At 57.7% G+C, this 21807-nt stretch overlaps 2 protein-coding genes across 12 annotated transcripts in view, besides 2 other annotated features; one reads left to right on the forward strand and one right to left on the reverse strand.

The window, feature by feature from the left end:
• The window catches only part of FLRT1 (fibronectin leucine rich transmembrane protein 1), an 83241-nt gene extending 80210 nt beyond the window's left edge, over positions 1 to 3031 (forward strand). For all 7 annotated transcript variants that reach the window (XM_047426696.1, NM_013280.5, NM_001423967.1 and 4 more), the window contains one exon: positions 79 to 3031. In XM_047426696.1, coding sequence (XP_047282652.1) covers positions 128 to 2152 — 2025 coding nt within the window. In that variant the 5' untranslated portion in view covers positions 79 to 127 and the 3' untranslated portion in view covers positions 2153 to 3031. The remainder of the gene's footprint in view (positions 1 to 78) is intronic.
• The window catches only part of MACROD1 (mono-ADP ribosylhydrolase 1), a 167556-nt gene that overhangs the window by 117583 nt on the left and 28166 nt on the right, over positions 1 to 21807 (reverse strand). Inside the window, exon 4 of one of the 5 annotated variants that reach the window (XM_006718522.3) lies at positions 2364 to 2637. The exons of the other annotated variants lie outside the window; for them this stretch is intronic. Coding sequence (XP_006718585.1) covers positions 2630 to 2637 — 8 coding nt within the window. The 3' untranslated portion in view covers positions 2364 to 2629. Of the gene's footprint in view, positions 1 to 2363; positions 2638 to 21807 lie in introns of those variants that run through there. 5 annotated transcript variants of the gene reach the window in all.
• Positions 5747 to 6678: an enhancer, noted in NCBI's record as "H3K27ac-H3K4me1 hESC enhancer chr11:63889359-63890290 (GRCh37/hg19 assembly coordinates)". NCBI's record gives its function as "activates a minimal SCP1, AML or CMV promoter by ChIP-STARR-seq in primed H9 embryonic stem cells {active_cell/tissue: H9 hESC(primed)}" and the evidence as "EXISTENCE:reporter gene assay evidence [ECO:0000049][PMID:30033119]".
• Positions 13337 to 13930: an enhancer, noted in NCBI's record as "H3K4me1 hESC enhancer chr11:63896949-63897542 (GRCh37/hg19 assembly coordinates)". NCBI's record gives its function as "activates a minimal SCP1, AML or CMV promoter by ChIP-STARR-seq in primed H9 embryonic stem cells {active_cell/tissue: H9 hESC(primed)}" and the evidence as "EXISTENCE:reporter gene assay evidence [ECO:0000049][PMID:30033119]".

Here is a 21807-nt window from a genome sequence, read left to right on the forward strand (position 1 = left end):
GGGAGGGAATGCACGATTCACTCCTGGGGTCGCTGTCGCCGCCTCCCTCTCACTGCCCCTGTCCTGTGCTCCTTGCAGGTATTCAGGCTCCAGGCCAGGTGGGGCCGGACGCCCCCAGCCATCCACCATGGTGGTGGCACACCCCACCGCCACTGCCACCACCACGCCCACTGCCACTGTCACGGCCACCGTTGTGATGACCACGGCCACCATGGACCTGCGGGACTGGCTGTTCCTCTGCTACGGGCTCATCGCCTTCCTGACGGAGGTCATCGACAGCACCACCTGCCCCTCGGTGTGCCGCTGCGACAACGGCTTCATCTACTGCAACGACCGGGGACTCACATCCATCCCCGCAGATATCCCTGATGATGCCACCACCCTCTACCTGCAGAACAACCAGATCAACAACGCCGGCATCCCCCAGGACCTCAAGACCAAGGTCAACGTGCAGGTCATCTACCTATACGAGAATGACCTGGATGAGTTCCCCATCAACCTGCCCCGCTCCCTCCGGGAGCTGCACCTGCAGGACAACAATGTGCGCACCATTGCCAGGGACTCGCTGGCCCGCATCCCGCTGCTGGAGAAGCTGCACCTGGATGACAACTCCGTGTCCACCGTCAGCATTGAGGAGGACGCCTTCGCCGACAGCAAACAGCTCAAGCTGCTCTTCCTGAGCCGGAACCACCTGAGCAGCATCCCCTCGGGGCTGCCGCACACGCTGGAGGAGCTGCGGCTGGATGACAACCGCATCTCCACCATCCCGCTGCATGCCTTCAAGGGCCTCAACAGCCTGCGGCGCCTGGTGCTGGACGGTAACCTGCTGGCCAACCAGCGCATCGCCGACGACACCTTCAGCCGCCTACAGAACCTCACAGAGCTCTCGCTGGTGCGCAATTCGCTGGCCGCGCCACCCCTCAACCTGCCCAGCGCCCACCTGCAGAAGCTCTACCTGCAGGACAATGCCATCAGCCACATCCCCTACAACACGCTGGCCAAGATGCGTGAGCTGGAGCGGCTGGACCTGTCCAACAACAACCTGACCACGCTGCCCCGCGGCCTGTTCGACGACCTGGGGAACCTGGCCCAGCTGCTGCTCAGGAACAACCCTTGGTTTTGTGGCTGCAACCTCATGTGGCTGCGGGACTGGGTGAAGGCACGGGCGGCCGTGGTCAACGTGCGGGGCCTCATGTGCCAGGGCCCTGAGAAGGTCCGGGGCATGGCCATCAAGGACATTACCAGCGAGATGGACGAGTGTTTTGAGACGGGGCCGCAGGGCGGCGTGGCCAATGCGGCTGCCAAGACCACGGCCAGCAACCACGCCTCTGCCACCACGCCCCAGGGTTCCCTGTTTACCCTCAAGGCCAAAAGGCCAGGGCTGCGCCTCCCCGACTCCAACATTGACTACCCCATGGCCACGGGTGATGGCGCCAAGACCCTGGCCATCCACGTGAAGGCCCTGACGGCAGACTCCATCCGCATCACGTGGAAGGCCACGCTCCCCGCCTCCTCTTTCCGGCTCAGTTGGCTGCGCCTGGGCCACAGCCCAGCCGTGGGCTCCATCACGGAGACCTTGGTGCAGGGGGACAAGACAGAGTACCTGCTGACAGCCCTGGAGCCCAAGTCCACCTACATCATCTGCATGGTCACCATGGAGACCAGCAATGCCTACGTAGCTGATGAGACACCCGTGTGTGCCAAGGCAGAGACAGCCGACAGCTATGGCCCTACCACCACACTCAACCAGGAGCAGAACGCTGGCCCCATGGCGAGCCTGCCCCTGGCGGGCATCATCGGCGGGGCAGTGGCTCTGGTCTTCCTCTTCCTGGTCCTGGGGGCCATCTGCTGGTACGTGCACCAGGCTGGCGAGCTGCTGACCCGGGAGAGGGCCTACAACCGGGGCAGCAGGAAAAAGGATGACTATATGGAGTCAGGGACCAAGAAGGATAACTCCATCCTGGAAATCCGCGGCCCTGGGCTGCAGATGCTGCCCATCAACCCGTACCGCGCCAAAGAAGAGTACGTGGTCCACACTATCTTCCCCTCCAACGGCAGCAGCCTCTGCAAGGCCACACACACCATTGGCTACGGCACCACGCGGGGCTACCGGGACGGCGGCATCCCCGACATAGACTACTCCTACACATGATGCCCGCCCACCCGGGCTGCCCCGCCTCAGCCCCAGCTGCCCTGGCGTGGCCATGTGGCTTTGCCCAGCCTGCTGCAATCCAAGAGAGCAAGGAAGAGAAATTCCATGGGTGACTTTCCTCCGCAGAAAGCAAAGTTTGGGGAGGGCTGACGATTTTGTAGAACACAACAGTGACAATTTTTTTTAAAAGAATAGAAGGCAGGAGGGGGAATTCGACATTGTTGAAGACATAATTTATACCAAGTTATGCCAGTTGGGGAGGGAAGGACTAAAAATAATATTGCAGGCAGGGCTGGGTTGGGTTTTTTTTTTTTCCCCCCTGAACTGGAAGGATACTACCTGTACAACATCTGTGGACACCTCATGCTCTGTTCAAGGCCATCACAAAGGAACCGCCAGGGAGAAGCAGCCGGCTCTCAAAGCTCCCACGCAGCTCTCCCGCCACTGGCCACTCGCTGGCGACCCGATGGAAGGTTTTCAGGCTCCTCACAAAGGAGAGAGGGAAGAAAAGATCTTTTGCCCTGGAGATATGGTCCTGAAATCTCTCCCCTGGCTTATTCCATACCATTTCCCTTGCAGATTTGCAGAAACATGGCATCTTTCACTGCATTCTTTGAACAATCATGTAGTCGATTAAAAAAAAAAAACAAACTTTTTTTTCCTAGGCTGAAGCCCTCTTCAGTTCCATGCACCACGCTCCGTAGAAGCCCCGGCGGAAGCCGTAGCTTTCCCTGCCACCTGGAGGTGCATCTGTCTGCCTGTCTATCCCTGTCGCGGTGTCTCTAAGTACAGATGGGTAGATAGAGCCACATGCACGGTCCTTACCGTTCTTCTTGGGTCAGTTCTTACCATTTCCTGAACAATAGAATTGTGAAAGTGTTGCTTTCTCCTAGAAATCCTTGAGTAAGTAGACCGTGTGTTGGGGATGGGAGTGAGGTGGGGGAGGAGACTTGGTCTCCAGGGGCTGCTGCTGTTCCTAAAGGCTGAGGTGTGTATGTCTCAGACGGGTGGCTTAGGGAGGCGTCGCAGCTGGGGCTGCCAGTCCCATCCTGGCTCAGCTTGGCCAGCACTGGGCTGCTCTCCTTTCTGATACAGATAAAAGCTTTATTTGATTCCAGTGTCCTCGTCTCCCTCCCCCACCACGTGCAATCACCTTAACAGCTACTTTCTGAGCATTTACCATGTGCTGAATGTTCCCTCCTAGGACGGGTAATTAGCGCAGGGATTTTTTTTTTAAATATCAGCTGATTAGACCTATTGGTTTCCATGGCTGCTCAAACAAAGCCCAGAAAAAGACACAAAAATTCTCGAAAAAGCCCTGGGTGATGGCAGTCCCTCCCTGAATGTAGAAAACTCAGCTGGGCCCACCCCTGGGACTCTGTTTCTTGAGAGGGAGAGACCAGATCTCTTTCTAAAAATGCCAGCCTCCGAAAGGGCCCTGACTGGGACCCTCAGAAGAGTTAAGATTTTATTTCCTCCCTCTGGAATCCATGTCGCTATCATGCATTTATCAACTGACAGTGCAGTGTGGTGAGCCATGAGATTAAAACGATGATGAAATAATGACAGCGAATTGGAGAGGGAGGAAGAGCGGAGCCTGGGGTTCCGACGTGCCTGCGTCCCAGTACTCAGGGAGCCCGGGTCACCATCTGTCACTGTGCCGCTTGTTCTGCGCCAAGGAAAAGGAACGTCAAAGAGGAGATGCTGGTCCGAGGGCAGGAGGATGAGAGGGCTGGGAGCGCCTGGTGGTGCTATTTTCAAACGGCCTCCACCACCGTGCGAAAAGCAAAGGCAGAAGCAGCAGCGGGGCAGGGGTTACGTTAAAAGGCCCGACCGCCACCTTCAGTGAGGAGATGGGGCTGAAAGGAGCGGACACAACAGCCACGTGGAAAGTGGAAAAATGGGCACAGGCTCCCAGCACGGCCTGGGGGGGCTAGCCCACGAAATAGGTCCACTCCCCAGCCCTGGGGAACAGCCGAGCAGCGTGGTCACGTTTCACTCGAAACTAGACGTGTTTTTCCTTTTCCTGCCTGAATCATTTTCTCACACAATAAGGTCAAGAGAGAAATTTCCCCAGGCCTTAATGTCAGGTCTGTATAAAAGGCAGCCCCAGGCCGGGTGCAGTGGCTCACGCCTGTAATCCCAGCACTTTGGGAGACTGAGGCAGGCAGATTTTCTGAGGTCAGGAGTTTGAGACCAGCCTGGCCAACATGGTGAAAGTCCGTCTCTCTAAAAATGCAAAAATTAGCCAGGCATGGTGGCAGGCGCCTGTTACCTGGCTACTCGGGAGGCTGAGGCAGGAGAATCGCTTGAACCAGGGAGGCAGAGGCTGCAGTGAACCGAGATTGCGCCACTGCATTCCAGCCTGGGCAAAGAGTGAGACTCCATCTCAAAAAAAAAAAAGTAGGCCCTCCCAGTGGACCATGGCCCCCCAGCCCCGAGATGAGCAGAAGGGCCCACCTGGGATGTCTGGGAGGAGAGCGTGCCCGAGGTGTGCCACGTTGGCACAGGGGACAGAAGTCCCAGGTCTCTGCTGATTCTAAAATGAGACCACCCCTCCCTGAAGGGCACCACTCTGATCACTGCCTTCCCCCAAGTCCCGCCCATCTGCAACACGGTGCTGCCAGCACACTGTCCCCACCTCACCTAGGTCCCCCTGTCTCCTCTCCCCACCCTAGACAGGTCAGGTCATGCCCTTAGTGGCTAGGAAGGCATCTGGGGACAGCAGGTGGCCCGGACCGTGAGAGCTGCCTGGGAAGGTCCTGCTTGGCTGGGGCAGGAGTGCGGGAGACTTAGTGCTAGAGAGCAGGCAGAGCTGGGAGCCAGCCTGTGCCCAGCCACGCCCTCCGAGACAAGGCCTGAGTGATGAGCTTTCCTCCCCTCCCATTGCACAGAGCAGGCCCAGGCAGGCAGGAGCCCTGGCAGCTGCCCCAGAGGAGCTCCTTGGGCCCCAGGACCACGCGAGTCTCCTGTTCCTGGTTCTTGCACTAACTGGGCGAGGGCGGGGCTCGGCCCCTCTTACCAGACCCTGCCTGCCTCATCGTGGGGATCACCCACCCACTGGCGCTCTAAGTGTGGAGGAAGGTAGATGCTCCACCCAGTCAGGGCCCTGGGACCCAGCTCTAGAGCTGACTTTCTCATCTTTTCTGCCCCTTAGCTATCCTGACACCTTCCCAGGGTCCTTTCTGGGCTTTCCCAGAGGAAGCCCCCAAATATCTGCTGTGTCACAGCCCCTCAGCCAGGGAGGGGCCAGAAGCTAGGTCCGTTCTGAAACCCCATCCCCTCTTGGCCCAGCTCCTCCCAGCTGGTCTCATACCACAAGATAGGAGATGTTTCAGGACACCCAGCCTCCCCTACACCTCAGACATGCGTGAGGACACAAGGCCTGGGATGCCAACCCCAGCCTGTCTAAATTCTCCCGGGCTCCCGTGCACAGCTGACATTTCCAAGGGAACGTCCGCGGCTGGGCTGACCCTCACAGCCTCTAAGTAGCCAGAATAACCTCAGCGGCCCCAGCACTGATGAGTACGTTTTGTGGCATTTAAGGCAGGTTTAAAGTTAAAGATAAAAAAAGCCCATGACGCTTCTTTGGTTAAGTGGTTTACCCTTCGTGGTAATTAGATGTAGTGATTGGAATCTCTTTTCTATTACATGGCAATTTTCCTTTAAATCTCCCCTAAAAAAAAAAAAGGAAAGGAAAGAAAAGGCAAGGAAGGAGAGAGAGAAGGCACCAGCAGGCCGGGAATCATTTGCATTTTGCGAATGAGGCCTCTTGTAAGCTCAGCTCAGGCGTGGGGCCCAATGTATGGAATGCTTAAGAGATTACTAAAAATAAAATCTATTAATTAGTCATACTCAATTCCACAGACATGATGTGCATCAAAAGCTCCTTTTCTTCCCTTTTCTCCTTCCCCCTCCCCACGGCCTCCCGCCACAGCCTCCATCTTCTCTAAATAGGCTGGGGCTTGCTCCACGCTAACATGGTGCATGCGGCGGCCAGGGGCCTCCCTGACACAGGGCCAGGATGCAGGTCCGGAGCCAAGAGCAGGGGCATTGCACCTTCCTGGCTCTGGGTGACGCTGGCAGGGGAGGGGACAGCACCTGGGAAGATGGCAGCAGCTAGGAGGGGCCCAACCTGACTCTCCCAAAGCCCAAAGCCCACACCTGCCGTGTGCCTCTTCTCCCTCCCTCTACACAGGCACCGGGTCTCCTCCTTCCCCTGGGGATCTGGGAAACCCTCCCTCTGAGCCCAGCCCAGCCCTGTCCGAACAAAGCCAGGCAGAGAGCTGAGGAGGGGGTCGGGGAGATGTTTCCAGAGCGGTGCAGGGAAAGAGGGTTTGGTGAGAATACAGCCTCTGTTTCCCCTTCTGTAAAGTGGGGGTGTGCTAGGGAGGGGTCCAGCGTCACTCAGGAAACTGGTGCTCCAGAGGCCAAGTGGGGGCCCTTCCCCGCTGCTGGTGCTGAAAGGTTCTAGCTGGCCCAAGTCAGGTGAGGGATCCCTGAAGGGTTGGAGGGGCTGGTCAGGGCCTGAGCAGAGGACAGGCTGGGACCCAAGGCTGCCTCGGAACCTGTGCCTCCCTCCTTCACCTCCGGCCCTGGAGCCAAGGAGCCAGGAGAGGAGGAGAAAGAGCAGACCCTCCCCCTTGAAAATGGCAGCTCAAGTCCCAAAGCCAGCCCACTTCAGAAACCTGCTTCCTGCTGAACGTGCCAGAGAGGAGGCTGGGGCTTCTGAGCCTTGCACTTATGAAAAATACAACAAGGAGAACTGGATGCAGCAAAGAGGGAGCAAAGGGGCGGGGAGGGCAACGGGGAGAGCAGGGGCAGTGCTGGCAGGAGGGGCCGGGCGCAGGGACCTGTGCCCCCAAGGGCCAGACCCTGCTCTCAGGGCCAGGACGCAGCCAGGGTCAGTGACGGGCGTCCGCGTGCCTCCTCATACTCGATTGGCACAGGTGACGGTGGCTGCTGCCTGCCCCTGGATGGGCGCCAGGGCAAGCACTCACAGGCGATTCGCAGCCGTGCATTGGCCTTCCGAGTGCAGAGAGGAGGCATTTTTTTTTCTTAAGGAGGGATAAAAAGGCTCAAAAATGCAAATCGTTACCGTTTACAACCAAGCAAGTCTGCTAAATTGATTAGGAGAGATTAAACTCCTTGGAGGTGCAGGGAAAGGGGGATTTTTCGTGGTTTATGAACCTGCCCCAAGTGGCTATCTGCATAGCAGGGACTTTCTGGGCCTCGATGGGTGGGGTGGGGGGGTTGGGGGTGCAAGATGGGGGCACCTGCCCTGGCTTGGCTCCCTGGGGAGCCAGGGTCTCTGAAGACAACACCAAATGGACCAGAGCACTCAGGCTTGAGGCTCCAGCACTGCCCTAGGGAAAGGGACTCAGGCCTCTGGGACAAGTGGCCCATCCAGTCCTTAGAAAGTAGGACTCTAGAGCCGTGGGCTTTTCTGCTTCCTTTCTGTTCTGGGTGGGTCTGTCTCCAATCCACTCCTTGTGGCCAGTAAAAGGGGAGTGGGTAAAGGGAAAACTGAAGGTCAGGGAAGAGAAACTCTAGCCCAGCAAAGGAAACAGGCAGTGAGCTCTCCGTCACTGGGAGCATTCAAGCACTAGATGGGGACGTGGCAGATATTTTCCTCCCAAGGTCTGGTGCTTTGACTAGAAGATCCTGGTTCCCACCCTTGCTTTCTCATCCCCCAGGACACTGAAAGGGAGCAGATATCAAGAGAAGTTCACCATGTTGTTTAAAGTCACTGGTGTCCCCTGAAAACCCCAAGTCAGGGCAGTCCTGAAGCCAGACCATCCTGCCCCACCAAAGAGCCACTTGTGCCAGCAGAGAGGCTGCAAAATACCCATCCTCAGTGTCCAAGAGGCACCAAGAAAGTACAGATACATGCCACCCCCTTTCCAGAGTCTAAACTCAGCACCTATGGCTCGCCAGAGGGGCTGACAGAGAGCGCCTCCCAGGCCCTGCAGCTCCGAAGCCCAGGCTGCGTCCTGGACCTGTCTCTTAAGCCAGGGCTGCCCCACGTGCAGTCCAACACGCTCATGCTGCTGCTGCTGCCACTGTATCTATCCATCCATCCATCACCGCCGGTGGATGGCGCCTGGGGCACTTTTCACTCTGTGGTTTTAAGCATTTACTGTTTCTTTTGAAATGTTCCAAGTAGGTGCCTGAAATACCCATATTTGCTTCTTTTTAAAAAACTCACAGAAAGATTCTTTTTGCTCTCCATCCCCTCCCTTTGCTCTTCCCCCTCCCTCGGCATTTTTAATCTGTGGGTTTTCCCTGGTTTTGGAAATTCCAAAAGTGGGGGTCAGGCCCCCTTTCTCACCATAACAGATTTGCGGGTGTGCCTGGAGACCCCCAAAGCCACAGAGCAAAGCCTGGTCTTTTTCTTTTTTTTTTTAGACAGAGTTTTGCTCTTGTTGCCCAGGCTGGAGTGCAATGGTGCAATCTCGGCTCACCGCAACCCCTGCCTCCCGGGTTCAAGTGATTCTCCTGCCTCAGCCTCCTGAGTAGCTGGGATTACAGGCGTGTGCCACCATGCCTGGCTAATTTTGCATTTTAAGTAGAGACAGGGTTTCTCCATGTTGCTCAGACTGGTATTGAACTCCCAGCCTCAGGTGATCCGCCCACCTTGGCCTCCCAAAGTGCTGGGATTACAGGCATGAGCCACCGTGCCCGGCCAAAGCCTCGTCTTTTCTCCACGTCTCCCCCGGAGACCCCTGCCTGGGACAGCTCCTGCTTCTGGTACCTGCTGGAGACCCTGGCCAGGGCCTGGCTCTTTGAGACCACTGTCACTGTCCCCTCCCGCCCCTTGTCACTGAAATGCCCGGCCTGTGCCAGGAGAGAGTGAGGGTGTGCTGAGGGCATAGGGCAACCTGTGGGTGGGATGACTGCCCCCACGTCCTAACAAAGCCAGCCCCCAAAGCACTGTGGCCATCTGAGTGGGCACAGTGCCCTGGCCCCCCTGCCTCCCCACACCTGAAAGCCCAAAGCCTAAGACCAGAGAGTCCTCAAAGGAAGGTCTTTGCTGCCACAGCCCTAAATCTCATCAAGGTAGATAGTCAGAGTCAGCACCTTGCCCTTCCCAGGGTCACTGGGGCCCAGCACAGTGCCTGGCACACAGGGGTACTCAATCCTTTCTCTGCCACCAACGGAACGAGGCCGCCTCCTCCTCTCACTTCCTCCCCAGTTGCCATCTGCCCACTCATTGAGGATGGCCCAGGCACGAGTGTTGGCAACAAACAGGCTTCTCTCGTCCTGCTCCTGCCCCGCCAGCAGCTGGCACAGAGAGGGGCTCATCTCAGCAGCTTTACCTCTTGGAAGCACCTCGCTCCACCCTGCCTTGGATCCACGTGTTGCCAGCTGTGAGCCAGATGGAGAAATGTAGCCACTCTGAGAGATCCGGTGGCTGCCCCAACCTGTGTCAGTAACTCAGTTTCCCTTCTCCAAGACTTGCCTTGAGTGGATGACAAGGGGGAGAGAACTGGGGGAGGGCCCCACAGAGGCGCTGCAAGAAATCCAGATCCCAGGCGACACCTGCTGCCTTGCCTGCTGCCCCCGCAGAATCCCTGCATCTGGAGCCACCCACCTGGAGGAACTCATCGGGCTTCCTCTGTAGACGGGAAAAAACAAACGCACCACAAACCGACAATCAAAGCCATGGCGGATGCGGGGCCGCCACCAGTTCATCTCCCTGGAGCCAGGCGGCTCCAGGCCTCTCTCACCTTTCTTGTGTGGAACGCAGGCTTGCAATGTTCTGAGCCCACCTGTCCTCGGGCTAGTCCCATTTTCAAAAGTTCTGAGTACGCAGGTGAGAAGACACCCCCACAAAACCCCAAAACTAGCCTTAGGCTGTTTTTCCCCAACACAACGCACCTCCACACCCCACACCGCCAGCAGCCCACCTGGGTACCCAAAGTGAGCCGCCAGGGGGTTCCGAGGACCCTGCCTGGTGCCTTCCAGCTCATAAGGAGAGGCCAAGAGCCATGGGGAGGAAGCCACACGGCCCAGCGCTCAGGGCTTGTCATCCAAGAGTGAGAGAAGTGGGGAGAGAGGTGACGGAGGGTGGAGTGGTGTGTGGCGTCGAAATAGGCTAGCCAGAGAGAGAGGTGCTTGTGGGATTCTGCTGGCTGGAGCCAGGAGGTAAGTGTGAACAGGGAGGCCAAAGATGAAAGTTATCTGAAAGAGCCCGTACCCCCTATAAACACGGCAGAGGAATGTCTTAAGAGCCACCAACAGTAATTCCCTTTCCGGATGTTAACAGGTTATTTGTATCTTATGTGGTGTCGTAAAGCATTCTGGAGTGGCACACAACGTCATCCCCTTCCCGGTGGTCTGAAGAGGAGGAGGAGACCAGGGAGGGGTCCTTGGCCAGCCCCTGGCGGCCAAGGGGTGGGTCCTTCTGCTCTATAGAAGGCAGGAAGCCCGCCAGCTAACCGCCCGGGTCAGAGGGAGCAGGCCTGATCTCTCCCAAGCCTGTGACCGAGGTCCTGCCTGATGTCCAAGGGGCCCCTGTGCCAGTACCCCCACTTCCCACGCCCCCCAGCCTTCCTCACCTCCAGAATCAGCCGCCCAGGTGCAGCACTATCTCCTTTCTTTTTCTTGGAAGCCGTCTCAGGGGCCTGAGTGACGGGCCTGACCGTCCCCGCTACCGCCTGCTGCCATGCGACCAGATGGCTGACCCGGCCCGGCTTCTCAGGGCCCAGACCAGCCTGGCCTCGTGCCCACCTGCTTCGCTCCCAACCTCACCACCAGGCAAGGGTTTCCAGAAAACCGAGACACGCAAACACCCACCACCACGACAACAACACAAACCAAAGTGCACTGCGAACCGCCCTTTGGCCTCCTTCTTGTAGGTGCCTTGAAACTTCAATGTTGAGATGAATGTGATTAACTACTTGGTCCTATTTTCTGTTTGTCTATTTTCATAGAAAATGTCCAAGTCCACTTGCCTTGTTCTTTCTTGAAATAAATAGAAAGATTTAACTTTTACGGTCATCTCTTGCTGCTGACTCTCGGCTTGGCACCCCATCGGGCCAGGGGCCAGGTGTCCGGGGCACACGTGGTCTCAGCGGCCCACCCCCTCCCCGGGCCTTGCCCCCGAGGCTCAGCCCACCCCCTCCCCGGACCTTGCCCCCGAGGCTCAGCCCACCCCTCCCCGGGCCTTGCCCCCGAGGGTCAGCTCTGTTCTTGGGGTGCCCTGGCTCGGAGGCGGTGACCCGGCAGGATGGAGACTGTTCCCTCCGGCACCATCCCAACCAAAATGATTCCGCTGCAGGAAGAAGGGCCCTCTGTCCCCACCCACAGGCCCCAGAGGTCTACTGACACCTGAGTCACCACAAGGGGACCCAGAGCTGAACCAGAGCTGAACGTAGACTCCGAGGGGTCTCTACATGGAGAAGTATGTGTCAGCAGGAGCTATGGGTTATCCTGGAAGAGGCTCCAGCAACCAAGTGGCTCCGGGGTAAAAGTGGGACTGTCCGGGTGTTTGGGGACATGAGCTTATGCCACCACCCCAGACGCCCCCCATCCCCTAGATGTACCCATTACACTCACAGCTCTGGAGCCTCATCTGCCTCTCTCACATCCCAAAGGGAGGGGGACAGGAAGGAACAAAATTTCCATGAGAACAATAGCAGTCTCTGCTAAATTTAACATAAAACAAGAACTCATTACTTCTGCCTGAGATCTGATTTCATGTCTGGATACAGTTAACGGGTTTTTCCTTATATTCCAAAGAAGCAAAGTTAATTCTCAGTGGCCGGTGGCCCTGAGTGGGGTGACGTGGGCCCCACAGGTGCTCTCTGCCCCACCCTCCTCCTCCATCCTCACCTCCTGTCCTGCCAGGGCAGGAGCAGCCCAAGAGAGACCACTCTAAGGTGTGGCACACAGTGTGACCACCCAGGAAAGGACCCAGGCTGTTCTTCCAACTTCTCCCTGAGACCCAGCGCACAGTGGGTGCCCAGGAGGGGTGCCCACTCCCTCACCTGAGACCCATTCTCTGGGGCTGTCGAGGGCTCTTTCTGGAACACAGTCAGCCAGCCAGCCAGCCAGGAGATATTGACTGAGGGCCTGCTATGCTCTGGGGCTGGTGTATTCCTGCCTCATGGAGGAGTGAGGAATCTACGTGGCTGAGTCAGGGCCTAGCCTGGGTGGGGCTGGGGAGGCTCTGTGGGGAACCAGATTTCCACAGAGGACGCTTCCACGGATAAGGAGGACTAGGAGGCAATGGGGAAGGCCTGGCACGCCGCCCGCCTGAGGTAGACAGGAGGGCAGGTCCACTTCTGCGCCCCACTCAGGAAGGCCCTGTGTCCCCCCATCTCCCCGTTGCCCCCCTCAGACTCCAGCCTCAGTGCAGCCCCACCCTCTGCCCTCCACGCCTGACACCCCCCAGGCCCAGTGTGGCTTAGACTTCAGGTCTATGCTGCACTGGTTTCCCACGCCTCTGCTGGCCTTTCTCACCTGCACAGGTGACCCCTTCCCACGCCTCGCTTGGCTGAGCCCAGACTGGCAGCTCTTGCCCTCCACACCTCCAGATCCCCAGAGGGCACTTGTCTGGCACCAGGAGGCCCCGTAAACAGGAATGAAGAGTGAGTCGATAAACAGTAAATCAATCAGCCAATCACTCCATGGATCCATGTGAGTACAAGGAGGATGATTCTCCAAGCACAACAGCCCTTGCCAACCCCAGTGAACCCACCCTTCCCCAGGAAGTCCTGCTCCCGGCTTTACCTCACCCTCCCCACGTGTGGCAGCGCCACAAATCTGGGGACACCTGTGGAGCCCTCGAAGCTAGGGAAGAAGGGCTGTGTTCTCAAACTGTGTTCCTCAGCCCCTGGAGCTAACACAGGTGTTGCCCAGAAAGGGTTCCCGGTCACAGGCCTTTGGGAACCACTGGATTAACACCACTGCTCTCCTGGGGCAGGGCCTTGGAGTCCCTGGGTATTGGGTTAGACCCATGGGCTCCGCCAGTTACCACATGTGCTACTCATCCTCTCTGTGCCTCAGTTTCCACCTCCATGCGTACATGATAACAGCTCCATCCCCGACTGCTGTTGGGAGGGTGAGGTGGGACGACACAGGTAATGCCACTGGGAGTGCCCAGCTCAGAAACCACCCGCACCAACCCTACGGCTGTGACGGAGCCTCTGTGAGAGGGCGTGGGAGGCCGGGTTGCCTACAGTTTGTCTGGGGAGTGTAGGCCTCCCCCACCCCCAGCACAGCCTCCTGGGGGGTTTCTCCCGCATTCCTGGCCCCCAGGGATGGAGCCAGGTGCTGAGCTGGTTGGCACTTCTTGCAGGGAGGCCCAGGTTCTTGGCAGGACCTTTGGACCCAGGCAGCAAAGTGCCCCCAGGTCCAGCACAGAGAGGCAACCGTACAGGGTGGGGCCTGTTCCCCAAACCACCCCCACAACAATCCCAGGTCCACGGCCTGCTGAAGAGGATGACAGGCTGGCTGCAGCCTTAGGCTTCAGGATTGGGGGTGGGTGTGGGGGACATCTCAGGTTTTAATACGCGCCCCAGGGGAGTTGGAGGCTCAGCCAGGTTTGGGCCGCACAGGAGGGAATTGCCAGGACCTGCATTTCAGGAATGAAAGGAAAACCCTCCAAACATAACCTGTTCTGAAGAGGACCGGGTGGTTGGGGGGCCGTGAGCCTCCCGTTCTTACAGGAAAGCAAGCAGGACTGGCCAGTGCCTCAAAGGCACTGCAGGGGACCTGCTGGCCCCAAAGAGCCCTGACACCATGTCTTCAGCTGGATGCCAGGAGATGGGGTGGTCCCCCGAGAAACCTACCCCACACCACTGCTGCAGCCCCCCACCGTGCCACCCTCCAGCCAAGCCACTTTGGGCCCTTTCCTTCCCCACAAATCTCTCAGGACTTGCATTATCACTGAGATTAGGGGCACGTGTGGGTAAGACCCCCGAATGGCTGCCCTGCGGCCAAGAGGCACCTTAAGTCCCGGGGCTCCGGCTTTGTGTATCTGACTCCGTCTGTTTTGTCAGACTCAGGACTAAAAAGCTCCTGCTCAAATGAGAGAGAGAGAGTGGGTGATACCTACCCCTCCATGGCTGCTTTCCTGTACCTGGAAACTGCCCTTACCTGGCTACCACTGGGTTCTGGAAGCTTCCCTTCTCCTGCCCCTACTTCCCAGGAGGGGTCTCTGGCCTCACCGAGCAACCTGAAGAAGAGGCGTCGGAACCTGGGAGGGGTCTAACACCCCAGGCCACACCCCCACACCCAAGTTCTGTGGCTGAGTCTTATCACCCAGCCTAGGAGGGTCCCGGACGCATGGGAGGGCACCCAGCTGGCCCTGAAATTCTGCCTCCGTGGGTCTGACATTGGCTCATCCACTTTCAGGCACCCCAAATAAGGCATGCTTCCAGGACCCCCCCACACATGCCGCTGCCTCCCCGCCGCCGCACCCACGTCACCTTCCAGTGCTGACACTGCCACCTCCCCACCCGCCACCCTGTCCAGCACCTCCAGAGGACCTTCTCCTCCTGCGGCAAAGTAAACAGGCTCTCTGGAGTGCTAACTGACAGCACAAATGAAATCCTGCACTCCCTCCCTCTAAGATTTACAGGGGAAGTGAAATCTTATTTGCAATGCTGCCAAGCCTGGGACGAGATGAAATTATGCCTCAAGAAGAGAACTGGCCGGCCCGGCGAGGAAGCACTGCATCGGAGATGGGCTTATTAAAACCACAGTGGCCACATTTCAACCTGTTTCAGGTGTTAAGTAATTTACTGCCACCCAGAATTCAGTGGCAGGTTTTTATCATTTTTATTCTTGTGATGCAGGCGAGTGCCCCAGGAGGTCCCTGTGCAGGGAGCTGCGGGTCTAAATGCTCCCTGTCACCCCCGCCCCAGGCACTGCAGAGGGAAATGGGGGCCAGCTGCCTGAAGCGGGTGAGGACACCCTGACTCTCTCCAGGGTTACACCCAGCTTGGCCATAGCTCAGAGTGACGGGGAGGGCAGGCTTTAAGACCCTCACCCCACCCACGTGTGGGGGCTCCATGATCCCTCAAAGACCCTCGGGACGTTTTCTTTTTTTTGATGGAGTCTCGCTCTGTCACCCAGGCTGGTGTACAGTGAGGTGATCTCGGCAGCTTCCGCCTCCCAGGTTCAAGCGATTCTCCTGCCTCAGCCTCCCAAGTAGCTGCGTGTACAGGCGTGTGCTACCACGCCCAGCTAATTTTTGTATTTTTACTAGAGATGGGGTTTCTCCATGTTGGCCAGGCTGGTCTTGAACTCCCAACTTCAATGATCCACCCGCATCGGCCTCCCAAAGTGCTGGGATTACAGGAGTGAGCCACCGCGCCCAGCCCCTCAGGATGTTTTCTGAAGGCAGCAGGAATGTAAGCTCTCTGGGAGCAGAGACTACCCTGTTTCAGGCTGTGACTACCAACCAAGCCTTTATTGAGCACCTACTGCATGCCAGGCCCTGTTCAGATGGGGAACATGCAGCAAATGGGACCGAGAGCCCCCTGCCCTGTGGAGCTCACGTGCTGCCTGCCGGTAAGTGTTGAGTAAATATTTGTGGTTGGTTGATGAAAATCTCCTACAGGCAAACAGGCCCTTGAAAGAAAAGAAGCTGAGGAGGGGGGCAGGGGGAACCGGAGGGAAGTGAGTGGCGGGAGGGAGGGGCGCACTTGACTGAGCATCTGCTACATGCCAGTCATCACAGTGACTGCTGGCAGCCCTGGAAGTGGGGCCTCCCCATGCCGGAGCTGCTGGGGCCAGGTCTCTGCACCTTCCCCTGCTCTGGAGAACTATGCAGAAATGGCTGATACTCCGTCTGAACTCATGAGGAACACAGTCTCCTATTCATGGGGAGCTGGGGACAAGGGGACCTACAGTCTGGGATGTGGTTAGGAACAGCCCCACGTCCTCCAAGCTCTCGAGCCCTTTCTCAGTGGTCCCGGGAGGAGAGCTGTTTGATGCCTGCTGGCTTTGGGGGGATTAAGCCTATTATGGAGGCTCCCGGGGCTTATCTGATGCCTTTCTCCACCTGTTTTCAGATATTCCAGGAAGACCAAGGGGAATCTTCTATGTCCAGGCTGAGCCAAGAGCAGAAATTCTTTAATTAGCTTTCTCCTGGATCAGGGCCCTGGCGGATGGATTGGTCACTGGGGGTGGGGCGGGGGGAGGGGAAAGGGATTGAAGTCCTCTTTAAAGCAGAGATTACAAACCCAGGGTGAAGGGCTTCAGGGCAGTTGCCAGGGACGGGCGGGTCCTGAGCAGGCCCTCCCCAGTCAGCGGCTCCTCGGGGTCTGGCAGATGGAATCTGCCACCAGGAAGATGCAGGGATGTGCTCTATTGAGCCCGCGGTCCTCAGGAAGCTGGCACAGAGAGATGCTTGGCACAGTCCAGGCTGTGTGCCCGGGTCTCCTAATGAATGTGGCTCTTCCCCATGTGACCATCCAGATCTGTAACTTCATAATTAGGGGGGATTTCCTGAAGGGGCGCCCATCTGCGAGAGGCAAGGCAGCGGGGGCCAGTGGTGCCAGGCGCCAGGCATCTGTCACCGAGCTTCATCCTCACGGCAGGGAGGTGCGGCAGGCTGGCTTACTCCCATTTTAAAACCAGCAAACCAAGGCCCAGATCTAAGCAGCTTGCCCAAGGCAATGGTGACGGAGTTAGCTCTGGAACCAGGTCTGTCCGGGTTCCCCCCACTGCCCCGAGTCCTGGCCCCATGAGGCCTCATGAAGAGACCAGGCTGAGGGTCAGTGAGCTGGAGGGAAATGCACACCCATGAGCCCCAGCCAGAGCGCCCTGTGGGGAACTAGACCTCCCCAGGAAGACCTCCCACAGGAAGCCGTCCCTGAGCAGCCCCCAGCGCCTTGGATTCCTGCACAGATGCACGGAGCCCCCACGCTATGCCCCTGCTGCCCCGCTACACAGGGAGCAAGGACTGGGTCTTAATCACTTCGTGCCCTTTGAATGCAGAAAGGAAGGTTGCGTCCACCTCAGCTTGGGAAACTGGAAAGAAGACTGGCAGGAAGCCAGGGGCACAGGATAGGCCAGGCTATGCCTCAAAAGATGGGGGACAGGGACAGAGGGAGCCAAGAGAGGAGACTGCTGGGGATCCCAGGCTGGAGCTCTCCTGCTGGCTGCCTTGCATAGGGAGGCACACGCAATGTGAGAGGGCAGGAGGCCGAGCCAGATGCCCGGGGCTGCGGCCGTGTGAAGTGTGGCTCGCGTTCTCTCCCTTGATCTCCTCCTAAAAGGCAGCTCCCCTGTGCTCCGGAAGCACTGGACACAGGTAGAGCAGGCAGAGAAAGACATCTGGACCCAGACCCCATGGGCATGGCCCTGCCACCCGCCCCAGCCTCCCTTCCCAGTGCAGCAAGCTGAGCCATTCCCAGAGCAGACTGCCCCAGGGCCCCTGTCCCCAGTCCCTGACTCTCAGACAGGTTTTCCCCTGGGATCCGGTCATGACGGGTGACTTGTAGGACCCTAGGGCACCCCAGCTGCCCGGGTACATCTCCCTTGTTCCCCCTTGCAGCCCCAGCACCTGCTGCAGGAATTAATGAAACGAATGAATGACTGTTACAGACTACATGGGAGCGACAGCAAACCCAGGTCTGGGGAAGTTCCTGGAGGGGAGGGTTTCTCAGCTGGGACCTGGAGGACGGTCGGAGTCAGCCAAGGAAATGGAGGAGAGGGTGCTCCTGACAGAGGTAAGTGCCCAGGCAAAGGCCAGGAGCAGAGACAGAACATGCAGCTATAAAGCCCAAAGTCACCCAACCCGGCTAGAATGGATAGGGTAGGAGAGGGAATGAATGAATGAGAAAAGGCAGGAGAAGTTCTGGGGCTAGATGACAGAGGTGGCCATCAGGGCAAGAAGGCTGAGGTCACCACTAGAGCTTCCCACAGTGGAGGATTCCAGGGGATTCCAAAGAAGCCAAGATAACAGCCAGGGCCGCCCAGCTCTGGAGGTCCCCATGTCCATCACAGTCATTCCACCCCACCCTGAGCTTTGCAGTACACCCCTGGCACCAGTCATGAGGTTGCAGAGAGAGTTGAAACCCTGAAGCAGGAAGCAGCATTCCCCCAGTGAGAGGCCAGGCCCAGAGAAACCCCAGCCTCTGCCAAGGAAGCGTGAGGACCCCAAGGGCAAGGGAGCTGGTGGGGGTAGGGGTGAGACTGGAAGTTGAACCCACAGGGAGGAGGGAAAGCAAAGGATACAAAGGCAGTGGCGGCAGCAGCCCCGCTGAGACTTGCTGTGAGCAGAGAGGAGCCCTGTTTACCTGGCATGAAGCAAGTATTTCCAGGCACCTACTACATGCGGGTTTGGTGTGAGATGCAGGGGTGGGGGACAGCACCTGAGGAAGCACCTGCCTCCCCGGCTGCGCCACACCTGTACACAGCAATACTTCCAGCACCCGCCTCTCTAGTGGGTGAAGAATGATGTCTCTCATTTCAATTAGCTTTTTCTTGATTACTTGCGAAGTTCTGCATCTTTTCACTTGTTTACTGGCCATTTGTTTTTCTCCTACCGGGAATTGCCTGTCCACATCTTTCACCCATTTTTCTTATTGATTTGTAGGAGCTCTTCGCATATTAAGAGAGGAGTAGAGAAGCAGCCTTCTCCTAGGGCAGGGCCCTCAGAGTCTCCCTCCAGGGTCCTCGGTCCCAGGGAAGGCAGAGAGATTTGTGTGGGTTGCTGGGTGCTCCCGCTGAATCTCTGCCCCCTGCCTGGCTCCCGATCAGCCAACTCTGCCAGAAGATGAGGCATCTCCTGCAGGTGAGGGCCCCTGCCAGGCCTGCATCCTGACTGGTAAAACCCAGAGGGCTTATTTTTCACTTACACTGAGAAGTCTACACTGCCAGTGGCTGGCAAGGTGCCCCAGATGGCACCTGAGGGGAGCCAGCTGGCATACCCGGGCATCGCAGAGGACAGAATGACTCTCGCCATCCCAGGTCAGTCTAGCAGGGACCATATGACAAATGGAACAGGTCCTGAAGCCTCAGGCCGGCCCTCCCACTAGAATTCCAGGCCCCCTCCCGGTCCTGGCACACACCTTCCCTGTCCCCCTTTCCAACTACAACGGTCCCTAAAGAGCAACCCCGGCCAGGGCCGCTCAGCTCTGGAGGTCACCATGTCCATCACAGTCACTCCACCCTCCACCCCACCCTCAGCTTTGCAGGAGACACCTGAGCCCTTGCCGCTTGCCCTCGGCCACCTGACCTTTCAGGGCCAGAACCATCCCTGCATTTTATTTTCCCTCCAGAGCATTCCACATTTCAGTGGACAAACACGCAGGCCATAAAACTGATTTCCAAAGCCTATAAAGGCAATAACATTTAGGGAGGAGGAAAAATAAAGCCCCTCCTTTCCCAGAGTAACGGCTGCCAGGAGTCCTCGAGGGGCCCCTTCTGCAGCTTGAGGGGAGCAGCGCAGGGCCAGCTTGCAGCCTTCCCCGCGCCAGGTGGTAAATGGCCACCCAGCACATGTTCCGAGGGCCCACGGCAGCCAGAGAGACTGCAAACTGCCTGCTTACCCTCTTCTCTGGTGCCCCTGCCCAAGGCTGTGTGGTTCCCCAAGAACCAGGGAAGCCTCGTTGGCACCCCGCGCCTGCCCTCTCTCCCCTTCCCCCACTAAGCTCCCTGCAAGGACCCCTGGAGCAGCTTCCCGGCTGGTCCAAGTCACCCCTGCTGCAGCCAGCGCAGGGGATGGCCCATGCTGTGGGCGGCCCGATGGACGTCCTAGGCAGCCAAACCCACCGTCCTGCTCCCCGCCACGCTCGGCTGAGCCCTCTGGGGAACAGAAAGGACACTGCCACAAAGGTGGCCACCATGACCTCGATGGCAGAGTGGGAGTGGATCCCATCAGAGACCAGAAAGCTCAGCCTTCCCTCAAGCTCTCCAGACACACCCATCCTGGGCTGTCACCAAGTTCACTAACCAGAACAACACCTAGAGTGGTCACCATGTGCCCACAACTCCTCATTCATTCATTCACCCATTCATTGATTCAGTTAAGGGCACTTCCCAGGATACATAGGGAAAAGATCTGGGTTCAAGCTTCCTGGATCCCAGACAAGTCACTTATGGTCTCTATAGCATAGCTTCCCAACCTGAGAAGTGGGACTCATAGCCGCCTCTCAGGCCATGACTGTGATGGTTATTCTGGGCTGGGAGAGCTGCTGGATGAGGGTGGGATGCGTTGGCAGCTGCAAGGCTGGGCCCAGTATGAGGGCAAGGTCCAGAGGGGAGGGGCCTGCCTGGAGGCTGGGGGATGCACCAAAGGACCCCAACAGTCCTTTCCAGGCAAGGATGCAACAAGGCCAGGAGACAAGGCCTGTGGGGGTAACATTCCTGCCTTCAGGGCAGACCCACCGGAGAGGGTCAGAGGGACCCCCCGCCACCGACCTGTGAGGGACCCGGGTGGCTTCCAGGAGCCCCAGGCCCGGAAGTCACTCATCCTCCTTTTCCTCAGGGATTAGAACACATCGTGACGTGGAATTAGCCACGGGCTCAGCCTCTGAAAAGAGGTGGAGAGAATCGGGAGATGGGGATCTTCCAACCAGGGAGCCCCTCCCTGCACAGGGGCCTCCCCAAGTCTCTGCAGGGATGGGGGGATGAGGAAGTGGGGGTGCCAGCCCCCGGGAGCAGCGGGGAGGGCTGGTGCGGGGCTGGAGTGGGCATCTCAGCATTTGCATGGAGAGCTCTCTCTGGTGCTGAATTCATGCAGCCGCCTGTGTGATTCCTAAGGCGAGACGAATCTCCAGGCCGCTTTTCTCAGCAGGAACAAGGCTTTTCTTCAAATCGATGGTGACACATTTTTAAACTCCGATATTAAGGAGGGAAAGATTTTGCCAGCCCCCCAGGGGCAACCCTTATTAGTCACAGGCTCATCTGAGAGAAACAGCAACAGCAGACCCAGTGGGCCTGAGCAAGACAAGAGGCCCAGAGGCCAGCTGCCGTGAGCACGACACAGGGGAGTCGACAGTGACAAATAGGAGGGCAGCGGCGGGGGGGTCTCCTGAGCTGGGGCACAGCCATGTGAGGGGCGAGCACTTTGGGATGGGCTCTGGAGCAAGGGATAAACCATCCTTGGGGGAGATAAAGAATAGTTGGTGAGGATACTAGAGAGGAAAAATGAAGAAAAAAGGCCAAGAGGAGAAAGAAAAGAAGGCATTCAGCTGAAACTTAAATTGACTTCCAAGCTTGGAGTTATGGATCCTAAAATCTTGTTACAAATTTTGCAGTGGCTGCTGGGAAGCTCAGAGCTGCATCTCATATTCAGTTGCAACAGATTTGCTCAGCCTAGTTTTGAGGTGTCATCTGGGCCGGGTCAGGAGAGGATACCAGGAGCCAAGATACCCCCAAGTAGCCATCGAGAGTGTAAACTACAAGGGCAGATATGAGCCGTAGTTCCTCGGAAGGCCACACACCAGCATCGAGTAGCAGGTGCCAGGGCAGAGAGCAGGCCGTGACCAGGAACCAGGCAAGAGGCTGGTGGCCTGGAAAGCACGTGCTGAGGGCATCCAGGCCGCAGAGTTCCAGGTGGGACCAGGAGCACAGTTCTTAGGAGATACCCAGCTCAGCATCCCCTGCTGTGGCTTGGTTCTTTTTGTTCCTGTTTTAATGGTTCTCAATTTTACTGTTCCTATTTTTCAGTGGAAATAAGTAAATGTTTT

This window comes from Homo sapiens, chromosome 11 (assembly GCF_000001405.40).
Source record: "Homo sapiens chromosome 11, GRCh38.p14 Primary Assembly".
Classification (NCBI taxonomy): Eukaryota; Metazoa; Chordata; class Mammalia; order Primates; family Hominidae; genus Homo; species Homo sapiens.